We start from the raw sequence: 23,670 nt of genomic DNA, 5'->3' as shown, positions 1-23,670 counted from the left end.
AGGCTACTATGAATAACCTCAGAGAAAGAAAAGAAAATATTGTATTCATGAAACAAAAACAGTATTCCTCAAAAAGCTCTTAGCAGAGAAAAACACGATAGCATAAGTGAAAAAGTTCAAGGCAAAAGTTGGAAGAGAAAGATAAGAAAATCTTCCCAGAAGTGAACAAAACTCCAGACTTCTCAGCAGCTACACCGAGAAGTTTTATATATTTATAAAATTTTATATATTTATAAAATTATAAAATCTAAATGTTTAAAATTATGTTCTAAAATATTCAAATATATAAATTATATAAATACATTTAAATATTAAAATTTCAATTATGTTTAAAAATATTCTATTATAATATAAATTATATTGTACATTATATACATTTAAATATTATATTTATCTGTATATGATTTTTATAAAGACAAATTATCTTAGATCAGAGTTTCTTGCCCTTGGCGTTGCTGACCTTTGGGTGGTATAACTCTTCGTCGTAGGGCACTATTTAGTCCACGGTAGCATCTTCCCAGTAGAGACCAGGAGCACTCTCCCCTCCAAGTAATGGCAAACGAAAACCTCTGCAGACATTGCCAGTTGTCCCTGGGCAGCAAAATCACCCCTGGTTGGGAACCCCTGCCCTAGGTTAACTGCTGTACTAACGCAGTGGGTTTCCACTGCCACATTACTCACACCCAGGGCAACAAGCAGTGCCTCATCCCCCAAAATATCAGTAAAATATCCAAAGTGAAGTAAGAACTTAGATGCAGTTTCCTATTAACCCAAATAGTTGCATGATCATACATCAACATAATCTACTGAAGTGCAGAATAATTGTTTTTCCGACTTTCATGATTGACAACATGTTAATGTATCTCTGGAGGAAGACTGACTCTACATCCAGTAAAACCACATGTTGATGGTGCATGTAAATAGATTCTTTAAAAAAATGCTCACATAAAATTCAAAGTTGACCACATGTTTTTTAAAAACATTCCTTGAAGAGGTTTGAATATTGGGGAAAGTTTGGTTTCTGTTGCTTAGAAATATGTACAGCACCATAAACTCTGGGCAAAAACATTCAAAGATGGGCCTTTTCATGTTGATTTTGAGGTAGGATTCAAAGTGATTTACGAAAAGTAACTAGTTAGGCTGAATTGCCAGATAAAACCTTCCCAGGTCCCTCCTCCAGCAGAAGGTGCCAGGAGAAGAGCTCCTTTGCAATGCACCTGGGCACATGCAATCAGACATCCACAAAGAGTGCGATGTCTATGCAGAATGCACCAATTCCAACTTCCAGGTCCCTGGAGATGCTTCGGACATGGGAAGGGAAGTGATTGGATTTCTGTCTCCCATACCCTGTTGGTGGGTATACAGTGTGCCTGTGAGTTGCAGCACCTCGGCTTTTGCTGCCTGCGTTGCCTCATCAAATGTGTATGACAATCAGAGCCACCTGATAGGAACACTGTGGGGATTAGGTGTTGAGAATGGTTCAATGCCCAGGAGGTGCTCAGCACAGTGTCTGGCATTTGGTAGTTTGTGGTCGTCATCGTTGTGAAAGTTATTTTTATGATGTAACTATTGTGTTCATGGTACAGTGCACAGGCACCAAGCTCTTTAAAAACCAAGAACAGAAGCCTGGTGGAATGACCAGTTAAGCAGTGCCCTGGTGATCAACACCCCTTCCAACCCATCCCCAACCATGGTGCCCCAATGGCTGAGAAGTGCTTTTTCTTAACGTTGCCACTCTTGAGTCTTTGTCAACGATCACAAGTGGCAAATAAGATTTAAAGACATGCACCAACAATTATAATTATGAAGAGTTATTAATGATATTAATAGTTAACACTCCTATAATATCATGTCTAATGATAATATAAGTATTACAAGATGTATGAAAATGGAATTCAAAATTGCACACACATACACAGACATGTAAAGAAGCTGGAAACAAATATACCCACATCCTGGTATAAACTTGATTGATAAGATTATGGTCACTTCGAAATTTTCTTTTATACATTTGTTTTGTGTTTTCTAATTTTTCGACGGTGTTATTTTTTAATTAGGGAAAAAACAATTCTTTATTATTATTATTATTATTATTTTTCTTTTGAGACGGAGTCTCACTCTGTTGCCAGGCTGGAGTACAGTGATGCAATCTCGGCTCACTGCAACCTCCACCTCCCAGGTTCAAGTGATTCTCCTGCCTCAGCCTCCCAAGTAGCTGGAACTACAGGCATGTGCCACCATGCCCAGCTAATTTTTGTATTTTTAGTAGAGACAGGGTTTCACCGTGTTGGCCAGGATGGTCTCGATCTCTTGACCTCGTGATCTGCCTACCTTGGCCTCCCAAAGTGCTGGGATTACAGGCGTGAGCCACTGTGCCCAGCCAACAATTTGTTATTTTTAAAAACCAGTGTAACTAAGACTGATTTTGTTGGTGGCTTAACTTGAGATTTCTGGGGAGACTCCTTAGAAAGAGATGATGTTTACTCAAATGAATCTATTAGAAGGCATCTACTTGTAAAGGTGTCAACTGTCTTTTTTTTTTTTTGCCATTGCTTAAATTACACTATGTATGTTGATAATATTATAATTAATAAGTCAATAAAAACAGACCTCACTGCAGTTTTTTTCAAGAGTGACTTTTAACTACATAGGTTTTTACTCTTCTCATGAGAGATAAAGCCTCTCTCTCTCTCTCACACACACACATAGACACACGCATATCTCTTCCACATCCACACACTAGTGCCCAGCGAGCCCACGTCCAGTCACCACAACCAGCTGGCCACTGAGGCTCCAACACTGGCTGTGATCTGGGCCCACAGCTGCCTCTACCAACCTTGGTTTCCCTACCTGGAAATGAGGACCAAGAATTCCCTGAGGATGTAACAAACATGTTCTCCCAGAATCAATGATCTCAGTGACAGGTTCTCAAACTTTGTGCTACATGAAAGAACAGGGATCTATTGTGTTGGAAGGACATCCAGTTTTTCAGAGCCCTTTTTTGGAACCCAAGACAAACTCAAACCCTAGAAACTCTGAGAGCCTCCCTAGTGGCCTTTCTGTAATTAATTATGTGGGTGCATTTATTTCCCCCCAAATGCCGAACGTTCGGATTATAACTACGGTCAAAGCTGGGGGCCGCCGCAGAGCAAATCCTGTCCCCACCAAAATGCCTTTGATGTCCAGGCCAGGAAGATGTGATTGTGGTTCCGATGAGAAACACAGAATTTGCCTGCATGTGGGGTATTTCAAGCCTGGGTGATTAAACTCAGGAAGACGCAGTCAAACCCTGTGTGTGAGTGTCCCGGGGCTTCCATAACAAAACACCACAACTGGGTGTCTTAAAGCAATGGAAACATGTTGTCTCACAGTGTTGGAGGCCGAAAGTCCAAAATCAAGGTGTCCATAGGGCTGGTTCCTTCGGAGGAAGGTAAGGGAGGGTTTTCCCCAGGCTCCTCCCAGCTTCCAGTGGTCGCTGGAGACCTGTGGTGTCCCTCGGTTTGCAGAAGAATCACCCTGAGTTATTTCTTCATCTTCACGTGGTGTTCCCCCCGTGCGTCTCTGTGAGTTTCCATGACCGTCTTTTTATAAGGACACCAGTCATATTCAATTAGGGGCCCGCCCTACTCCAGTATGACCTCATCGTAACTAATTACATCTGCAACCACCCTCGGATAAGGTCACCTTCAGAGGCACTGGGGGGTTAGGACTTCAATGCACCTTTTTCCGGAGGACACAGTTCAACCCCTAACAACCTGGAATCCCCCCATACCCCAGCACCTCTGAGAACCTCTTGCCTTTTTTCTGGAAACCCACAATGACTGCCCTGGAGCAAGCAGGGTCCTTGTCCGTCCCAGCAGCAAACTCTCCTAAAGGACTTCTCCAAAACCCTGGTTTTCATGGTTTAAAGGGGGCCTAACATTGTAGCCGTGGTTTTAATTAAGGGTTGATGGGCCGTGTCATGACGTCATCAACAAAATGAGCATAATAAAAAGAAATAACTTAATATGGGGTGTGGGAAGGCGGCCCAGAATTTGTCATGAAATTGCATTATGTAGGCAATAAAATGCCATTTTAGAAAACACTGGTACCGTGCAGGCTGCCAAGGGCCGTCCTTTGTTTACTAAGAAGTTCCACTCATGTTTGCCCGCTTTCCACAGGGCATTCAGCCCAGTCAGTGCCCTCACATGTGGAATCTTGTTTGTTCCCCAGTTGGTTGAATGGAGCAGGTTAATTCCAAACCGCAGTGTCTGAGTCAAGTCCCTTTCTGGAAGTCGAGCCCTGGAATTTTTGGCATCCTCTTGCCATGGGGGCCGTGGTGTGACGATGCCATCTGGGAGCCCTGTGTCCTTGCATCCTGCCAGGGAAACCAGACTGAGACTCCAGAACAGAAGCTGGAAGAGCAATCCCCGGGTTGAGATTTAGACTCAAACTTAAATATGGGACTGGGGGCTTCCTTGGCTAGATTCACCTGTGGCTCTCATTTCCTGAAAGCTCCTGGACCAACAGGAATCTTGTGATGCTTTTTGGATTCACTTCTCTGTGTGCACTGTTTAGAAAAACTGCTTTCTTGGGAACTAGAAAGGCTTGGTAACCATGTTGCGTTCTGAATGCTGCTGTTTGGGGGTCCCAAATCCCCAGGCCATGGACTGGTACCAATCTGTAGCCTGTTAGGAACCACGCCGTACAGCAGTAGATGAGCAGCAGGCAAGCGAGCGAGACTTCGTCTGTATTTACAGCCACTCCCCATCACACAAATTACTGCCTGAGCTCCGTCTCCCGTCAGATCAGCAGTGGCATTAGATTCTCACAGGAGCGTGAACCCTATTGTGAACTGCACACGTGGGGGATCTAGGTTGTGTGCTCCTTATGAGAATCTAATGCCTGGTGATCTGTCACTGCCTCCCACCACCCCCAAACGGGACCATCTAGCTGGAGGAAAACAAGCTCAGGGCTCCCACCAATTCTACATTATCATGAGTTGTATAATTATTTCGTTATATATTATAATGTAATAATAATAGAAATGAAATACACGATAAATATAATGCCCTTGAATCATCTCGAAACCATCCTCCCCACCCCTGGTCCTGGAACAATTGTCTTCCATGAAGCCAGTCCCTGGTGCCAAAAAGTCTGGGGACCATTGCTGCCTTTGAAGAACTTTGATCCACAGAAGTGTGGTCAGAGCCCATAGGTGAGACCCAGGAATGAGGGCCTCTGCTTAGGATTGCCCCTGGGTGTGTCTTTCACCAACGCAATCGGGGGCTGAAATGCAGTTTGGGTCCCACCATTCATGCCATAAGCCACTGTAACAGCTTCTCTGCAGAGCAGAAGAATTTTTGCAATTTGCCCACCCAAAGGGGTTTCTTTATCTCTAATTGGCATAAAGACGCCTTATAGGCTGGCATAGGTCATCAGTGGAAAGAATTTGAACAGCATAGACCAGGAGGGTAGACATGCTGTTTTCAAAGTTAACTCCCCTGTTCATTCAGTCAACAGATATTTAATTCAGCACCTACTATGCCCTGGCGCTGTGGCATTCATAGGCAAGGAGGACTGGACCTGGAAGGGGCCTCTGGGTCTCAGAGGACAGGATGTGGACCGGTGAGCAGAGGTTATCTGGAGGCTGACTGCAGCTTCTCAGATGGAAAATGCTGCACCGGCCGGGACACCTCTTGAAGAAATAGTTTGGAATTGTCTAGAAAGTTGAAGTTGAGGACATCCTCTAATTTGTAATTCCATTCCTAAGCATATCCCCTGGCAAAGCTTGTGTCTCGGTGCACCAAGATATCTGTGTGGGCTCATGGCAGCACTGTCTTTAGCTGTCTCAAGCTGGAAATGACACACATGTCACAATAAGACAGGGAGGGAAGGAGAGCTCCCACCCGTGGATAGTGCAGCTTGGCTGGGCCCATGCAGCTCCAGCTCAGGACATTTCCTTCCTGTCCTCCTGCCCTACGAATGGCAGACTTGCTCAGGCAGCCCCCACAATCGTTCAGACTAACTCCCAATATGAACCCATATGTGTGTGTGTGTGTGTGTGTGTGTGTGTGTGTGTGTGTGTGTGTAAAATGTATCGGTCAAGGTTCACTCTGGGAGATTTGCTAAGAAGCCTGGCTCCCCACTTGTTAGATTGTTGAGATCCTGGATCCATCATTCAGCCACCTGAAATGGGAATCATTACCCCTTCAGAGAGATTAAATGAGAAGAAATACAGAAAGTTCTTAGCACTTGACCATTTCCATAAAAATCTCTTCACAAATATTAGGTATTGCGATTGTTATTATTATGAATTATAGTAATTTTGTGGGAAAATTCGATGGAGCCCCTACAGAGGACTGTGCGGACGGCGCCCCCCGCAACACACATACACGGAAATGAAAGCAGTGCTGGGAGACCCCGGACGGGCAGCAGGATACCAAGTATTATTTTCTGGGAAACTCATTTGCAGCGTGTCAAGGAAAGATCAAATTTAAATGCAAAGTCCCTTGAGAAAGGGAACACACTGACTTATTTCACCTTCATTCTCTGACAGATTTTACTGTACAAAAGTGGCCACGACAGTACCTCCCTTGTTCATGGTCCTCTTATGAAGTGCCATTCCCATGTTGCCATCAAGAGCTGTGCTGTAATCCTGTTCCCGGGCCCTGGGCTGGCTTTAGTGACTTGCTCGATCAATAGCTGGCTGCAAAAGTGGCCTTCTGGGACTCATGAGAATGGATCACAGGAAGGCTGACCGCCTCCTCCTGGATCTCCTGGGATGCTCACTCTGGTGGACCCAAATGCCAGGCAGAGGAAAGACCAAGCCACATGGAGGGGTCACGTGAAGGCTCTAATCTGCCACCTGCCGAGATTCCAGGTGACGTCCAGCCCCAACCACCAACATACGTATGCACCGTCCTGGATACCCATCTGACACGTCAGTCAACATCAGACGACAGCCAGATGAGAGACCTCTAGCAAGAGCTGCCCAGCTGAACCCTTCCTGAATTCCCAACCCGTAAAATCATGTTTCTTTCAATCCTTAAGTGGTTTTGTTATACACCAAGAGATAACCAGAACACCTATTAGAGTAGGAATAACTGATGACCAGAAATGCAGAGAGCTAATCTTGAAAGGGAGTTGTTTGTATTTATTTATTTGTTTAGAGACGGAGTCTCACTGTGATGCCTAGGCTGGAGTGCAATGGAGCAATCTCAGCTCACTGCAACCTCCGCTTCCCGGGTTCAAGAAATTCTCTTGCCTCAGCCTCCAGAGTAACTGGAATTACAGGCACACGTCACCATATACAGCTAATTTTTGTATTTTTAGTAGAGATGGGGTGTCCCCATATTGGCTAGGCTGGTCTTGAACTCCTGACCTCAAGTGATCCACCCTCCTTGGCCTCTGAAAGTGCTGGGATTACAGACGTGAGCCCAGCCTTTGAAAGGGAGTTTGAGTGAGATGAATGTTGGGGGTTTGAAGGTGGAGCAGGAATTACTGGGGGTGGGGGTCGGGAAGAAGGGAAGGCGGATGCAATCCGTAGAAGTTGGGGCTTTAGAGAAATGATGGGCTTTGTCCAAAGTCACAGCTGATTTGCAGTGGGGTTTGCAATGCAAACCTAAACATTCGCATTTTCACGCAGATGGTTCCAAAGCTGTGTCCTTCCTGGTGCATGCACTGTCCCTGGAGGTGATGCTGACGCTGGCCAGAGTGCAGAGAGGGCGGACTGTGCAGTGCTGAAGAGTGCCAGCTTGGGGCTGGAATCTCGGCTCTGCTGCTTCCTACTTGAAGACCCTGAGCAAGTTATTTACCTCCCTGGGCCTTAGTTTTCTCATCTGTGAAATGGGATAGTAACGGTAGCCACCTCTCGTGGGGCTGTCCCGAGGAATGAATGAGAAATGCAGCTTCCTGACTTGGCTTAACAGGTCAGGGCCACACTGTCCAATATGGTAGCAATTAGCTAAATAATTTTAAAGAATAATTTGGCAGTGAGCCGAGATCGTGCCAGTGCACTCCAGCCTGGGCAATAGGCTCCGTCTCAGAAAAAGAAAAGAACAATTGAAGTAAAACTTTAAAATAATAATTTGAGGTAAATTAAACAAACTAAAATTCAGCTTCTTAATTGTGCAGCCACCTCTGCCTAGTGGCACAGATACAGAACTTTCCATCCACGGCCATGTGTGGGGACTGGCCAGGGTGTGCACCCTGGCGCCGAGGACAGGGGACTGTGGGTATGTGGACAGGGCTGCCTGGAAATGGGCAGACGTTGGCCAACCATACCGTCTTCCCGGGGCTGCCCCGGTGGGAACTGATGCCCTCATTTGAGTACCGAGGTTCTGCTTCCTGACTTCCCTCTCCGGCTTTATTTCTAAGCAAGGACTGACAAAGGGACACCATGCCACTGGCAAAACAGAGCTCGATTCTACCACATTTTTAGCGAATCTTTGGGAAAACGGGGAAAGTATACACTTTGAAATTTTCTATTATTCATTGAACAATTCAGTTAAGGTACTGAGCACCTGGCATATGCTTTTTTTGGCACTGGGGAGAGAGTAGGGAACAAGGTGAACCAAAGTCCTCACTTTCATAGACGTCGTACCCCAGTGGTGAGAGAGAGAGAAAATATATAAGTAAACATGATAAATGTGGTAAAATATAAATAATGTAATAATTTCAGACTGTGTTAAATGTTATGGAAAAATGTAGAACCCGATGATGAATCTCTGGGGAGGGGTGAGTGCAAACTTGGGGGCCGAGGCGGCTTCTCTAAGGTCATAGCCAAGCGGGAGGATGAGCCACTTTTGTGCGTCACCTTGATAGGAGGGAGTGAATGGCCCATACAGGACGTTTGGAAGCCTTCCATGCTGGACAGGAGCTGGGGTTGGAGGAACAGACAAAGAGGCTGTGCAGCCAGGGTGAGGTGGGGTCTGAGGCGCAGGCTGTGGAGGTGGACAGGGCCAGACCCCACAGGACATGGGCCACGGTGGGGAAGTTCAAATGTAGCTCAAGTGCAAAGGGATGTGACACAAATCTGCCAGCAGTGGCTGCGTGGGGACACCTGCTGTGCTAACTCTTCCTCCAGTCTTCCCAGTCCAAATGGGGTCACGGGGAAGTGCTTTAGACAAACGTGTAATAAAAAATGTTCCTGAAAAGATGTTCCCTGCTCTTCCTGGATGGAATTCTTTCTCTTCCCTTTCTAGATATCATTCGAACTTAGCGCCCAAAGGAGGAGAGACATGCCCCTCCTTCCATTTAGCCAGCTCCACCCCCTCCTCGAATTTGGCCTCCTCTACCAGCTTCTTCTCTGGGATACAGGGAGGTCCTTTGGGGTCTGAATTTCTCATCATCTTAGTCCTAGAGGCTGGACATCAGGTTCCAAAATAAAGAGCACAAAAGGGGCCAGAGGAGCAAGGACAGTTTGAGGACAGCTGGAGAACCCAGAGGAAGGGGGTCAGCCCCAAACAGGTTAGGGGTGAGGGAGGTGTGTGGCCAGTGCCCACTGGGCTGGAGGTGCACCCGCATGTGATTGCTTTCACACATATGGACTGGCTCCAGAAGGACAGGAAGAAAGTGATGCTGCTGCCTCCTGGGAGGCGGCCGGGGCAGCTGAGGGAAGAGTGAGCAGGGTGAAGCTATTTTTCACTGTAAACACTTTTGTACCTTGTACATGTTGTCCTGAGTGCATGAACGACCTATCCAAACCATACAAAGCGAAAAGAAAGAGGTGATGTGGAAGCCGACGGCCCTCTCCCATGAGGTCATGCTCTATGAGCATGTGACATTTCAGGAGGACGTATCGTTTCGTGGTGAAATCACATGATCTGACGTACGGAATATTGAATCTGAAAGCAAACATTAAAGATCAGGCCCAATCCTCTCCTACCACTGTGCCACTGACTTGCTATGTGACCCTGGGCAAGGGACCTAACTATAATGTGCCTCAGTTTTCCTTCCGTTAAAATGGGGGTAATAATACTGACCTGCCTCAACAGGCAGTTTTGAGGCGTGACTAATGCTTTTCATAAAGCATTTTGGGATCTTTCAGCAGAGGAATTCTCAAGACCTGAGTATTTTCATAATAGCAATGTCCACCAGGAACTTGGCATGTCCATGTGTCCCGGATGCTCTCATTGGTCAATATGATTTTCCAAGAAATTGAATGAACCCATTGGAGAAGTGGTGGGTAACTAGCCAGAAAAAATTAGAGAATGCATAAACTCATTGCCATGGAAACATATGTAGGATGCCCTTTCTTTGACTGAGTGGGATTTTCCCCTTCTTGATGTGGGATAGTAGTTATTTGTAACCTAAGAATAATTTTGCAATAATTTCTATTAATATCACCTCTGAAGCTAGTTGTACTTATCTGAGACTGTGTTTGTTTATAATAAAAGTGAAGTGAGTCTCACACACACACACACACACACACACACAGAAGATCAGGCTCAATCCCCACACCACAGGCAATTGCAGATCCAGAGATGTTATGAGACGTGCCCGAGGCCACACATTGGATTTCGGCATATAATGGGATTAACCCCCAGGTCTTCTGCCACCTGCCTCCTGCTCTCAGGAGAGGCTCTGATGTGGGAGAGTTTGGACTAGATGTTCTGCCTGGAACTTTCCATCTCTATGTTTCTATAATCCCGTGGTGAAAAAGGAAAAATGGTCCTTGTGATGGCTTCCACATTTTCCAAGAGAAAAATAGAGACTTATCTGACCCGGGGTCTGTGACAAGTTCGTATGCAAGAAACCTCTGGACGTGCACTTCGGAGGACGGAGCAGGGGGCGCTGGGGCTGTGTTGACGGTTTATGGAGCATGAGGAGGACTGGGAGGCTTTTATGGCCAAACACAGCAAAATATAGAGGATTTTATGTTAAGTAACTGACTAGGATTTAACGTGTAACAATTACTGGAATGAACACAAAATACTTTCTTAATTTATTCCTATTTAACCTTGTTTATATAGCAGTTCCCTTGTCGGGAACCATTCTGAGCACTTTACAAAAATTAATTTATGGAATAGGAGCACTATATGACGGTAATCTCAAGTGTGAAATTTTGGAGTCAAAAAGACTCCAAATTTAGTAAATTTTTAAAAAATTCCACACTTGAGATTAGCATCATGTAGTGCTCCTATTACATAAATTAATGTTTGTATTTAAATCCTGGTTCTGCCACTCTTATGAATTGCATGATCGAGGCCAAATTACTTAACCTCTCTGACCCTCAATTTATTCATCTGTAAAATAGGGATATTATCAATTATCACCTAGACTTTTAAGAAATGGAATGTCTTAGTTTGAACCGTATGAGATCACTCACTTTCAGCCTATTTAATTTATAAAGCTGGAAATTTTGTGGAGTTAAACTACATTTAAAGAGCTTAGCAGAATGCCTAGCACTTGGAGAGTGCTCAATAAATATAAATAATAGCTTTTTAAAAGTTTATTTTGTTTGAGAGAAGCTAACAAACAACAAGAATTTTTCTTACATATAAGACCTTGCATTTTAGCCAGGCATGGTGGCTCCCACCTGTAATCTCAGCACTTTGAGAGGCCGAGATGGGAGGGTTACTTGAAGCCAGGAGTTGGAGACCAGCCTAGGCAACGAGGCAAGACCCCATCTCTACCGATTTTTTTTTTAAGAAAGAATTAGGCAAGTGTGTTGACTCATACCTGTAGTCCCAGCACTTTGGGAGGCAGAGGCAGGAGGATCGCTTGAGCCCAGGAGTTTGAGAACAGCCTGGGCAACATAGTGAGATTCCCACCTCTACAAACAAAACAAAACAAACAAACAAAAAACAGAGAGTGGCGGCGCATGCCTGTAGCTCCAGCTACTCAGGGTGCTGAGGTGGGAGAATTGCTTGAGCCCAGGTGCTTGAGGCTACAGTGGGCTATGATGGTGCTACTGCACTCCAGCCTGGGTAAGGACCCTGCTCTTCTATTATCCTGAAGTCTTTGCGCCTTGTCTAATATTATTCTTCAATAGGCCCTGCTGAAATAATTGAAAAGCTTTCACTGAGTCCCATCCTTTGAAAAGAAGGGAGGTTCCCGTGATGGTTATTAGAGTCACCCTAGCCCTCTCTTCCAAGGACTTCAGCAGCAGGGAAAAGCTGCTTCCCGAAGAAGTCATCTCTCGGCTCAGCCCACTGCAGTGATGAATCTGGGAACAGAGCGTGCCCAAGACCCGACTCCTGGGACTGCGAATTCCTCAGCCATATGTCGCCCTTGCAAGGTGGGGGGTCCCCGTCACAGCCCTGACAAATGCTCAGCCCCTGAGCCGGCAAGCCACAGGAGGTGAGGTCCACAAGGACTAATTACATCAGGAGATGCCGCCACCGGGAGGCCCCTTCTCGTCCCCTTCCTGCCTAAGCACCATGGCAGCCTGCATGGAAATGTCATTCTGTCTCCCGGGTCCCGCCCTCGGATGGCAGCGCCTGTCTCAGGGAAGGAGAACAGATGTGTGTGCAGACTGCCAACTCCTGCCCGAGTGGAGAGGTGGCCCAAGTACCCACCACTGTTCATATCCTGGAAAAAATGTCAAGGGGAGAAGGCTTGGGGGAAACCAAAAGGATGGCCACAGAGGCCCATTAAGTGCTGGTCAGGAATGGGAGGGAAGCCTTCCACTCCCGCAGAAAGCGGCGGAGCTCCTGCTTGGCCCTGAGGTCAGCACCAATGGCGTTCCCACCTGTTCCCACCTGTGTTGCAAGTCATGCATTCAAACGATCGTCATTAAATTCTGCAAGTGTCCACCCTGTGTGACAACTACGTAGAGGGTGTGATGGAGAAAGTTCCATGGATAGGATTCACAGGGGCTTATATTCAAAAGTCCGATCTGCCTCACAGTCCCGCCGGGTGATTTCATTGCTTTCTGATGTGGTAATGGCCAAACGCTGGGGTGGCGACCCAGCCACTACACATCGATCACATAGAAGGCTGAAGTATCTGAGCCCCCTCTCCCACCACCCACCCGCCGCCTGGCCTGCCGGCTTCAGTACTGCAGACCCTCCACCCCAAGGTGCGCCCCACCGTAGGGCAAATGTGGAGCTTTATAAATAACCATTGTGATCATGAAAGGAAGTTGCCAGGAAAACAGATACTTCAATACATTGTAAAGACAGCACAAAACATACTCTCAACAGGTTAAAAAACAAAATGTTCAAATTTACCCTTTGGAAATCAGAATATCATACACAGCATTTGCCACCTGACAAGAGCATTTCCTTCTTCTTCCTATGAATACATGTGTGTAAATGTACACATTCAGCAAATGTCTTTGTTTTCTTTCCTCTCATATTTCTTTATCATGTAACATAAGATGAATTGGCTTTCTATCAGTATTGCAGTATTGTTAATTTGACATCATCGTGTTAAGTTATAAGATGTCGGGAGTGAACACTCAGGGTCTTAATCTCCTCTCTGGGGAAGAGGCTGGTGTGTTTCCGGTTGTATGCAGGAGAGCTGTTTGATGTTAGGTGGATTCACACCTTATTTTGTCTTTATTTGGAGATGATGGAGTGTGATCTAAGGAGATGCACATGGGTGCCAGGTTGATGAAGGGTGGGCTCGTGATGGTGAATTTCGTATGTCAATTTGACTGGGCTAAAGGATGCCCATGTAGCTGGGATTACACGATTTCTGGGTGTGTCTGTGAGGGTGTTTCTGGAAGAGATGGGCATCACAATCAGTAGCCTGAGTAAAAAGAACACTCTTCCCCAAAGTAGGTGGTCCCCATCCGATCCCCTGAGGGCCTGGATAAAACAAAAAGGCAGAGAAAGGGCGAGTTCCTTCTCTCTTCAGGCCTGGGACATCTGTCTTGTGCTGCCCTCAGACATCAGTGCTCCTGGTTTGTGGGCCTTTGGATCCCTGGACTTACTCCAGTATCCCATCCCTGGTTTCAGACCTCGGCCCTGGGCTGGGAGCTGCACCATTGGCCCTCCTGGCTCTCAGGCCTTCAGACTTGAACTGAATTGCGCCACTCACTTTCCCATTCTCCAGCTTGCTTATAGCAGATTGTAGGACTCCTTGGCCTTCACCATCGCCTGAGCCAATTCCCATAATGAATGTCCTCCGATATACATGCCTGTCTATCCTGTTGGAGCTGTTTCTCTGGAGAACCTTGCCCAATACATCCATTATGAAAAATTAGTAGCCAATTCCCATAACGAATGTCCTCCAGTATACATGCCTGTCTATCCTGTTGGAGCTGTTTCTCTGGAGAACCTTGACCAATACATCCCTTGTGAAGAATCAGTATAACTTTAGAAAAAGTTTAAAGGAAGCTGGGTCATCAGGATTTTCACACCTGTTTTTCACCTATAGTCTCTGTGGCACAGATGGTTTTGCAAGCATATCCCTGATAAAAACGGGCCCTTACATTCCTTCTAGTGCCTGTGCTGGCTCTAAGCATGTGCACCAATGAGTGCATCTGATGCTTCCAGCAACCCTAGAGCCAGGGATCCACCTTGGTCATCTCTATTCCATGGGGAGGAAGTGGAGACACACACAGGCTACAAAGCCACTGCCCTGGTCCCTTGGCTGGTGCATGCGGCCATGGCACTCAGCCCAGCAGCCTGGCTCCATGTACACCAGCACCATAGCAGGAATGAGATCAAGGATTCGCCCTCACCCTCAGTTCCCCTCCCTCTCACACAGAGAAGCATCAGGCCTGCGAATGTCTCTTGAAGATGGGATCCCTTCAGCCACTGCAAGGGACTAGGCTGACTGCTGACCCTCCAGTCCTCTCCTCCCTGCTGGCCACGTCAGTCCTTGGAGTTAATGAGCCAGGATGGTTCAGTCGCTGCCCGGGAGCGACTAATACCTGTCACTAAATTGCATGTAACACATTGGCCTGGTCCCCTGGGTGAGGCAGGCCACTCCATGTTGCTGCCCACTGAGTTCAGGAAATGAACCACAGCAGCTTTTCTCTCCCCAGATGCCCACGCCCTTTGGGGACCTCCCTGCTCCTCTCCCAAAACGCAGCTCTAAGGCACACAGGCAGGAGATCCTTCTCCGTGCCGGGGGAGTTAAACCAGCTCAGCAGCACACAGCAGTCCCTCCCGCCACCCTCTGGGGGGATCAGCACACCCTGGGGGCCGTATTTCACATAGTCATTAATTGATGACACACAGTAATGAATGGGCCACATTCCTACTTCAGTGAAGTGCATAATTCTGGGCTCATGATGCTGGGATGGGCCCAGCTCTTGTTTTCTTTTAATCTGGTTTGAAAGACGAGCATTCTCCCAGACGGCAGGGATGGAGTCTGCTACACCGTGAGTTCATCAGTGTGGCATGTGCGGCCTCGTTGCACTTGGAGATAGGAAATGCCAACCGTCACAGCCCCTTAGTGGCCTTGGGGGCATGGGTGAGGAGCCTAATTAGCTGTGGTCACAGTTTATTAAAAATCATAAATATTCCTCTTGGAGGCAGGGTGGGAGTCGGAGAAGGAAAGAGGCAGTGTCTGGCTGGTGTGTGCATGTGTGTATGTGTGTGCATGCATCTGTGTGTGCACACGTGTACATGTGAGGGTTCATGTGCAATTGATTTTCAACAAGTATGCTTAAGCAGGCAAACCTTACTGGAAGGTAGAGGCATGGATGTGGCTCCGTCGTTTAAGAACATGTCCCACTGCCTGAAGACAGAGTCACAGGCCTTTTGCCTTGTTTTCCTGGGGGCAGAAGTGTCAGAAAAACAACTGTATGTCATCATTATTCACTTGTCCCAATTCACTTTGTTCCCAGTGGAATCCCACAAATATTGGGACAAATGAACAACGATGACCCTGTGGTCAAAGCTGGAAATAATGAGATGAATCAGACACAGCCCTTTGCTTCAAGTAGTTCACAGTCTCTGGGGGAAACCCACAGGGAAACAGACATACTAGGGCATAACAATTACACAGTAATAATAATAAGTGTGTTTAGGCCCAGGGAAAGGCATTGCATGGGTGGTCTCTTTTGAATCTTGTAACAGTCCTGGCTCTTAGCACTGGTAACAGGGGCCTCCCACTACCCCGCCCCCACCCCAACCCATTCCCTTCCTGCCGTTGAAAGCAGAGTGCTCCCACAGCACACAGCCAGGTGCTGCCCACTCGACCACTCCATGTCCTGGCCCCCGTGTCCCCCTGGTGACAGGCACTTGGAGGAGGTTTGAGTGAGGGTGGTGCATGTCACATCTCAGCCAAGGCTTGTGTTATGGAGGTGACATCTCCCCCTCCTTTCCTTCTCACTGGCAGATGTGCAGAACAAGCCCCCAGGGTATGGCGTATTAATTTTATTAGGCCCTGGACCCTTCAACATCTGGTGAAGTCTCTGGAACTTTATCAGAACAATGCTTTTAAATCTGAGAACTATGTAGGAGCAGAAAGGAAATTGATGACACTGAAATATATACAAACATATGGAGCAACATATAAACATGCGTGCACTTTACCAGTGCATTCAGTAACAGGATGTAGTAGCTACTGCAATTTCAAATGAAAGTAGACAAAGTTTCATGATATCCACAGCAGAAATGTGATGAGAAAGTATCTGATTTCCACAGCCAGAAAGTTCACGGGGGCTGCTAATACTACTGCCGTCTGTTTCCGGCATTCATAATAGAACCAAAGCTATATGTCAGTTAGAGGCGAGTGAAAATGAAGGTGTCTGTCTTTCCCATCCCTGTTTATGGAAGCTCCTGAGCTCCCTGTGTCCCACAGGGACTCCAGCTGGGGTTGAGGAGAGCCACCAAGCGGGAGGCACCTGGGTCCCTGAATCACACTGTGGAGGAGAGATTTGCTTTCCAACCCATGAAAATGCCTTTCCATTGGATTCTCTATCCTTGCTTATGCGAGTCCCAAGCAGCAAGTGGAATCATGGAAAAGTAATTAATAAAATCTTAACTAAACCGGTTCTCAGTTTTCAACTCAACCCAGTAGCTAGTGTTCCAGTGCCTCTCTGTACTCCAAATGGTTCGTGTGCCACATCTTCTATCAATCGTATCTCCCAAGGCATGCAACTATTTGAAAAAGCCCCAAACAGTCCAGGCTAACAAGTATATTTCTCCATGAGCAATCTAGAAATCCATCTTTTGATGGTGTAGGTGAAATTGCTTTGACTGCAACAGGAAAGGGAAGAAGGGAGAAGCTTTCCTTTTTAAGGATTACCTGTATATTGCTGCTTTTCATGCACTCTCTTATTTATTGAGAAGCTGAAGATGCTGAGCTCTGGTGCTATGTGACCTTGGGAAATCACATCAACAGTTAGGGTGCAAGTAGCAGATATACAAACTGGTTTAAACAATAAAGGGGATTTACCTGTCCACGTACCTGTAAAGTCAAGAGATAGGAAGGGCTTCAGGCTAGTTTGTTCCAGAGGTTGATAAAGTCACCGGGGCTGTGTCTCTCGCTCTCTGTGGCAGTTTCACCTTCGGAATGATTTCCCATGTGGTTGTCAGGTAGCTCCTGACAGCACCTGGGGTTCTATGCTTCCTGTTTACCTACAGCAGAAGAGAGGGGGTCTTCCCATCACATCTAGTGAAAGTCCTGAGATCCGCTCCGATTTCACTAATTTATGTAGCAACCTCATTCTTAAATCCATAACAGCGTCAAAGAAGACAGAGCATGTGATTGTCCCAAACTGCCCCTGAGCCCACACAAACCATGTGACTAAAAGGCTCAGATTCCTATTAGGAATCTAGGGGGATAATAGATCTTGAGAAGGCAACTAACTACAGCCACAGCAAAATATATATATATATTAATAACGTCAAACTCTCCATGAGCAAATTGCCCGGGGTCCCGCCCCAGCCTGCATTACCATCTCATGCTGTCCATTTACAGGCAATGTGTCTCATTTAATTCTCAACCACCCCCAAGATGTGGAAACTGGTGTTCTCCTCACATGAGCAAACTGAGAGCCAAGAGCTTAAGTACTTGTTTAAATCTAGGTGTCTCACCAGTGGCAGGTTTCATGGGGAACCGAGTCCTACTGAGGGCTCCTTACTCTTCACCACCATGCAGAACTGCTTCCCTGGGGGCCCTGCCCCACTCTCAGCCTCAGTTTACCCATCTGTAAAATGAGTTGAGTTGACTTTATCACCTCTAAGGGCCTCTACTATTCCAAGCGACAAGGCCACCCGGATTTCATTCTTCCTGGGAGACGGGAGCGCTCATTTCTGCTCCTGGTGGTCACTCACCTCCACGTGACCTTTGGCATCCAGGCTTTCTGGGTCTCTGGCTCCTTGATGATGCCATGCAGAGGTCCTGAGGTTGAGATGTCCCTGCTTGTGGCTGTGGCTCCTGGGCACACGTATGGCATATTTCAGGTACACTTTCTTGGAGGAAGAGGGAACATCTGTACACGCTCCTGAGTGTGGGGGTGGGAAAAGACCCCTAGGAGAGAAGGCCTGCAGTCCGAAGGCCTAGACATGAGGAGGGAAGACCTCATCAGCAGCCTGTTCACACATGGGTACGGGCTGTATTTTTACTGTTCTTTTTTCAAGTGGGCATCTGAGATCAAGAAAGACAGTCACCCTGCTAGTCAGTGGGTCAGTGGGAGATGTAGGAATAAGCAACTCCAGGCTCTTCTTTCCCCCAGAGTGCTGGGAGCCTCTGCTATGGCCAACACTTTGTGTTTCCCAGTATCTGTGTCAATTCAAGGATACCAAATGGTGAAACAGAAAAACACACTCAAAACCAGTGGGTCTTGCTTTCGTTCTCATTGTAACCACTGAGCACCAGGACCGACACTGGAGTGAGTGGAATTTTCATGGTTCAGTCATTGGAATAACCAAAATACTTATTGTGCCAACTGGATCGTCACCAAAGTATTTCTTTTTAGTGGACTTTGTTGTCAAAAGTTTGCTCATTGACAACCTGGCAGCTGGCCCAGACATGTATGCAAAGCAGTCAATCATTAGAGCCAGAGTGGGTGCGGTGCTGATGGATGCTGAGCAATAGCTCTACAGGGGAAGTTCTGATCTGTGGGGCCTGCTGTTGGCTGTGGTGTAAACACTCTCACCATGGCCAGTTTCGAGTGCGGAACCCAGGCACAATCAACCCTGAAAAGCAGGTCTGAGTAGACTCCACGCACCACTGGCTGGAGGGGGGGCATGACTTTTCATGCAAATGGGGACACTTTGGAGGGTAATGGGGGACATTGTTGAGGTCCCTACTGAGCAACGGGCATAAATCAGGAGCTCCCCAGGCAAACCGGTCACTCTCATTACAGACCAGGCATCTGGTCACTTTCATTAGAGACCAGGCATCTAATCACCCTCATTACAGATCAGAGAGACCTTAGGGATTATCTGTTCAATTCTCTCTTGCAGATGAGGAAACTGAGACACAAAAATGGGGGATGACTTGCCCAGGAAGCTGGACCACATCACACAACGTTACTATTGTAATACCTTTATCAAGAGTACCTCACATGGCAACAATGGGAGAAAAATCATACAGCTGGCTGCGTCAGGGAGAAAAGGAAGGGTGCCCCGGAGGCCACGGGAGACCAAGACAATCCCTCTGTGGCTCAGAGTCTGGTAATGGCTTAATTATCTTGCGGGGGAAAAAAATGTGAACTGGCTACACCTCCTGATCCATGAAATTGCAATTACCCTGAAGAGTCGTTCATCAACTGCCCTTTTGAAGGTGGGAGGGACAGCATCTGAGGCTGCACATTTTGACGCACACACAGCTTCCCACAGTGACACAGTGGGAGGGACGGTGGCCGGGGTGAGGAATCCCGAACGCGGCTTCCCCTCTGCCTTGGCTACACAGGCGTTCTTTGGTTCATTGCTTCTCCTCTCTGCACTGCATCTGCACTGCACATTCTTTACTTAAAATATGGCTGTGGTTCAGAAGATGGGTTTTTGCCCACTTAGGGCATGTGCTCACTGATTTAAAAACTTCTCCACTCCCTACCACTCTCTGTTGTCTAATGATGCATTTCATTTCATTGATTGATTGATTGACTGAGATGGAGTCTCCCTCTGTCACCCAGGCTGGAGTACAGTGGCACAATCGTGGCTCACTGCAACTTCCACCTCCTGGGTTCAAGCGGTTCTCCTGCCTCAGCCTCCCACGTAGTGGGAATGCAGGCGCCTGCTACCACGTCCAGCTAATTTTTTTATTTTTAATAGAGATGGGGTTTCGCCATATTGGCCATGGTTGGCCAGGCTGGTCTTGAACTCCTAACCTCAGGTGATCTGCCCGCCTTGGCCTCCCAAAGTGTTGGGATTACAGGCGTGAGCCCCTGTGCCTGGCCCTGCATTTCATTCTTTTAAGTTCTATGTTTGGCACATGTCCGAAAGCTGGGCTGCCAGATTTAGTAAATTTAGTATAAGTATGTGTTGTGTAGTATTTGGAACATGCTTATATTTTAAAAGTATTAATTTTTAATCTGAAATTAAAACGTAACTGGGCATCCTGTGTTTTATCTGGGCATTTCACAGAAGCATTTGAGTTTGAGACTCCTAGACTAGAGGGTTTGTGAGGTATATTTCAGCTCTAAAAGTGTATAGCCATCAACTCATTCAGTAATCTTACTGGGTGCCTGTGGCATATATATTTTTGCTTTCTGGGAAATACAGTTGGAACCCTGATAAGCCCAGAGTCTATGTGTTTCAATTTCCAAAAACTGTTACAATTCAAAGATACACAGCGTAAAGAACAAATAATCCAATTAAAAATGGGCAAAAGATATAAACAGACACTTCTGAAAAGAAGACATACAAGCAGCCAACAAATATATGAAAAAATACTCCACATCACTAATCATTAGAGAAATGCAAATCAAAACCACAATGAGATACCATCTCACACCAGTCAGAATGGCAATTACCAAAAAGCCAAGAAATAACAGATGCTGGTGAGGGTGTGGAGAAAAGGGAACACTTACACATTGTTGGTGGGAATGCAAATTAGTCCAGCCACTCTGGAAAGCAGTTTGGAGATTTCTCAAAGAACTTAACACTGAACCACCATTTGACCCAGCAATCCTATCATTGGGTATATACTACCCAAAGGCAAAAAAATCATTCTACCAAAAAGACGCATGCATTCACATGTTCACTGCAGTTCTATTCACAGTAACAAAGATGTGGAATCAACATAGGTGCCCATCAGTGGTGGATTGGATTGAAAAAATGTGGTACCTATACACCATGGAATACTATGCAGCCATAAAAAAGAACGTAATCATGTCCTTTGCAGCAACATGGATGCAGCTGGAGGCCATTATCCTAAGTGAATTAATGAGGGAACAGAAAATCAAATACAGCATTTTCTCACTTATAAGTGGGAGCTAAATATTGAATATGCATGAACATAAAGATGGCAACAATAGGATCCAGGACTGCTAGAGAGAGGAGGGAGGGGTCATGAGCTGAAAAACTAACTACTGGGTGCTATGCTCACTTATCTGGGTGACAGGACCATCTGTACTCTAAACCTCATCATCACACAATATACTCATGCAATAAACCTGCCCATGTGCTCCCTGAATGAAAAAAAAAAAAAATCAAAAGAAATTTTAGAATTTCTCATATCCTTTCCTTACATTTCTCCAAAACCACAAAAGGATCTGGGCACACCATCCCCAACAGAAGACCTTTCCGCATCCATTCTGCCTTCACACCTGGGTACTGCATGAGGGCTACAATTGCTTCCGAAACTCCACTCTGGGTCACCTTTCTCTATCTCCAGCCCCCTCATTCCTTTGTTATGCCATACATCTGCTTCCTTATTAGCTGAAAAGACATTCCTTGAGGAAGAGGAAGGAGGCAGAGAAGAGGTTGGCCATTCCAGAATATTCTGTAGTGGCCCTAGGGGGTAGAGGAAACACCTGAACACATCTATGTTTATAGTTTGTGCTCTGTTATCTGAGCACAGCAAAAACCATGTTTCTGCCTTCAAAGAACTTCATATGCAGACAGGGCACAAGACACACCTAGTAAAACAAGTAGAAAACACAAAGGCAGAATCATTACACACTGGGAATGTAAACACCAAAGAAATCAAAACGAAGGAGGAAGTCAAGACACCCTGGAAAGGCAGAACTATTTTCCTGAAAGGTCTTACAGCAAATGCAGTTGCTGTCAGGTACTGCCTTCACCCTAACCACATCCAGACCCAGCACCTGAAACCCACTGGCTGAGGGCTATCTAAAGCCCCTGGAGTGCCAGGGCATCCCTACCCTCAGGGTAGTTTTGAACCAATGTCAGGTGACAGCTGGTGTATAAATACCCCAGCTCCCTCTCCTTGGGTGGGATAATTCCAAGGTCTGTGCTGTATGGTTTCCTATTGCTTAACACTGACCTAATGACGTCCCCCTCACAGAGGGTCCTCCCCTTCCCTGGGTCATGTCCTTACTTGTCCACTCCCCTGTTGGTGTTTCCTGGGATCACCTCCTAAATTAATGATTTGTGCCAGAATCCTTGTATCAAGGTTGCTTCTGAGGGCCCCGAACAAGACAAGCACCAGCACTCCAAAGGACTGGCAGAGCTCAACTCCAAAGTCATAAGAGGACGGCAGCGATGGACTACCAGGTCTAGGAAAGGCCCCAGAGATTTGCTTGAAGAACACATTTCAGGTAGACAGAGTCCTTGGTTAATTCCTGGCCCTTTCAAAAACTCAATGACCCTGTACTTTTCGAAGCTGAGGTGGGAGGATTGTTCGAAGTCAGGAGTTCAGGACCAGCCTGGGCAACATACTGAGACCCCATCTCTACAAAAAATTTAAAAAATAGCTGGGCATGAAGGTATGCGGCTGTAGTCCTAGCTACTTAGGAAGCTGAGGTGGGAGGATTGCTTGAGCCCGGGAGTCTGGGGCTGCAGTGAGCTATAATTGCACCACTGTGCACTCCAGCCTGGGTGCTGGGTGACAGAGTGAGACCTTGTCTCTAAAAATAAAGAAAGATAGAGAAAGAGAAAAAAAATGAGAGAAAGAGATAAAAAGAAAGAAATGTTTTAAATGTCAAAAAAGAAGGAAAGAAAGAAAGAAGGAAAGAAAGAGAAAGAAAGAAAATTTTTAAATGTTAAAGACCTAATTTAATTAGATGCCTTCAGTTTCACAGATGGAGCAAATGGGCTCAGAAAGACTAGTGACATTTTCTCAAAAATAGGGACACCCATTTCTCTTCCTGGTTTTGCCAGCTTCCTTTCAAGCTCTTTCTATTTCCCAAAGAAGAAGCTGGAATCACCCAATATAGCCCTCTGACATTGCTGACTAATGGGTACTGTCTGAAGCATTATCGTAGCAGTAATGATAATAACATGTCCCTAAAGGGCACTTATACCCTGTGCCTGGCACTGTACAAAGCACTTTACATGCACTGACCCCATCTTCAATGTCACGTGATACAGTAGCTTTACCATCCCTGCTTTACATATGATGAAACAAAACACAGAGAGGTTAGCTGACTTCCCCAGGGACACACAGCAAGGAAGCGGGAAACAGAACTCATACCCACGCAGCCTGGCTCCAGATCTCACACTCTGGAGCCCATGCAAGCCATAACTGATCTAGAATAAAACACAAACCGAGGGAGTCCATTTTTAACTAGCCCTTCCTAGATGCACCCTCAGATACAGCTAGCCAAAGACCAGGTACCAACCTGCATCTTCACTGGATGGGTGGGTTAACCTCAGAAGTTATCCGAGGTTAGTCAGTGGTTCAAGATCTCTTGGTTCCAACCTCTTT

The 23,670-nt window shown here is 46.3% G+C and overlaps 1 long non-coding RNA gene across 1 annotated transcript, besides 2 other annotated features; it reads right to left on the bottom strand.

The window, feature by feature from the left end:
* Positions 1–13,071: 13,071 nt before the first annotated feature.
* Positions 13,072–18,690, bottom strand: LOC107984819 (uncharacterized). The gene is made up of 3 exons (XR_001752396.2): positions 18,168–18,690; positions 17,299–17,468; positions 13,072–17,211 (listed from the first exon to the last, which is right to left on the bottom strand). It is a non-coding gene; the product is annotated as an uncharacterized LOC107984819 (long non-coding RNA).
* Positions 14,391–14,907: an enhancer, noted in NCBI's record as "H3K4me1 hESC enhancer chr16:86806761-86807277 (GRCh37/hg19 assembly coordinates)". NCBI's record gives its function as "activates a minimal SCP1, AML or CMV promoter by ChIP-STARR-seq in naive H9 embryonic stem cells {active_cell/tissue: H9 hESC(naive)}" and the evidence as "EXISTENCE:reporter gene assay evidence [ECO:0000049][PMID:30033119]".
* Positions 14,908–15,426: an enhancer, noted in NCBI's record as "H3K4me1 hESC enhancer chr16:86806242-86806760 (GRCh37/hg19 assembly coordinates)". NCBI's record gives its function as "activates a minimal SCP1, AML or CMV promoter by ChIP-STARR-seq in naive and primed H9 embryonic stem cells {active_cell/tissue: H9 hESC(naive and primed)}" and the evidence as "EXISTENCE:reporter gene assay evidence [ECO:0000049][PMID:30033119]".
* Positions 18,691–23,670: the final 4,980 nt, after the last annotated feature.

Source organism: Homo sapiens, chromosome 16, assembly GCF_000001405.40.
Source record: "Homo sapiens chromosome 16, GRCh38.p14 Primary Assembly".
Taxonomy (NCBI): Eukaryota; Metazoa; Chordata; class Mammalia; order Primates; family Hominidae; genus Homo; species Homo sapiens.
This window is presented reverse-complemented; position numbering and strand designations above follow the sequence as displayed.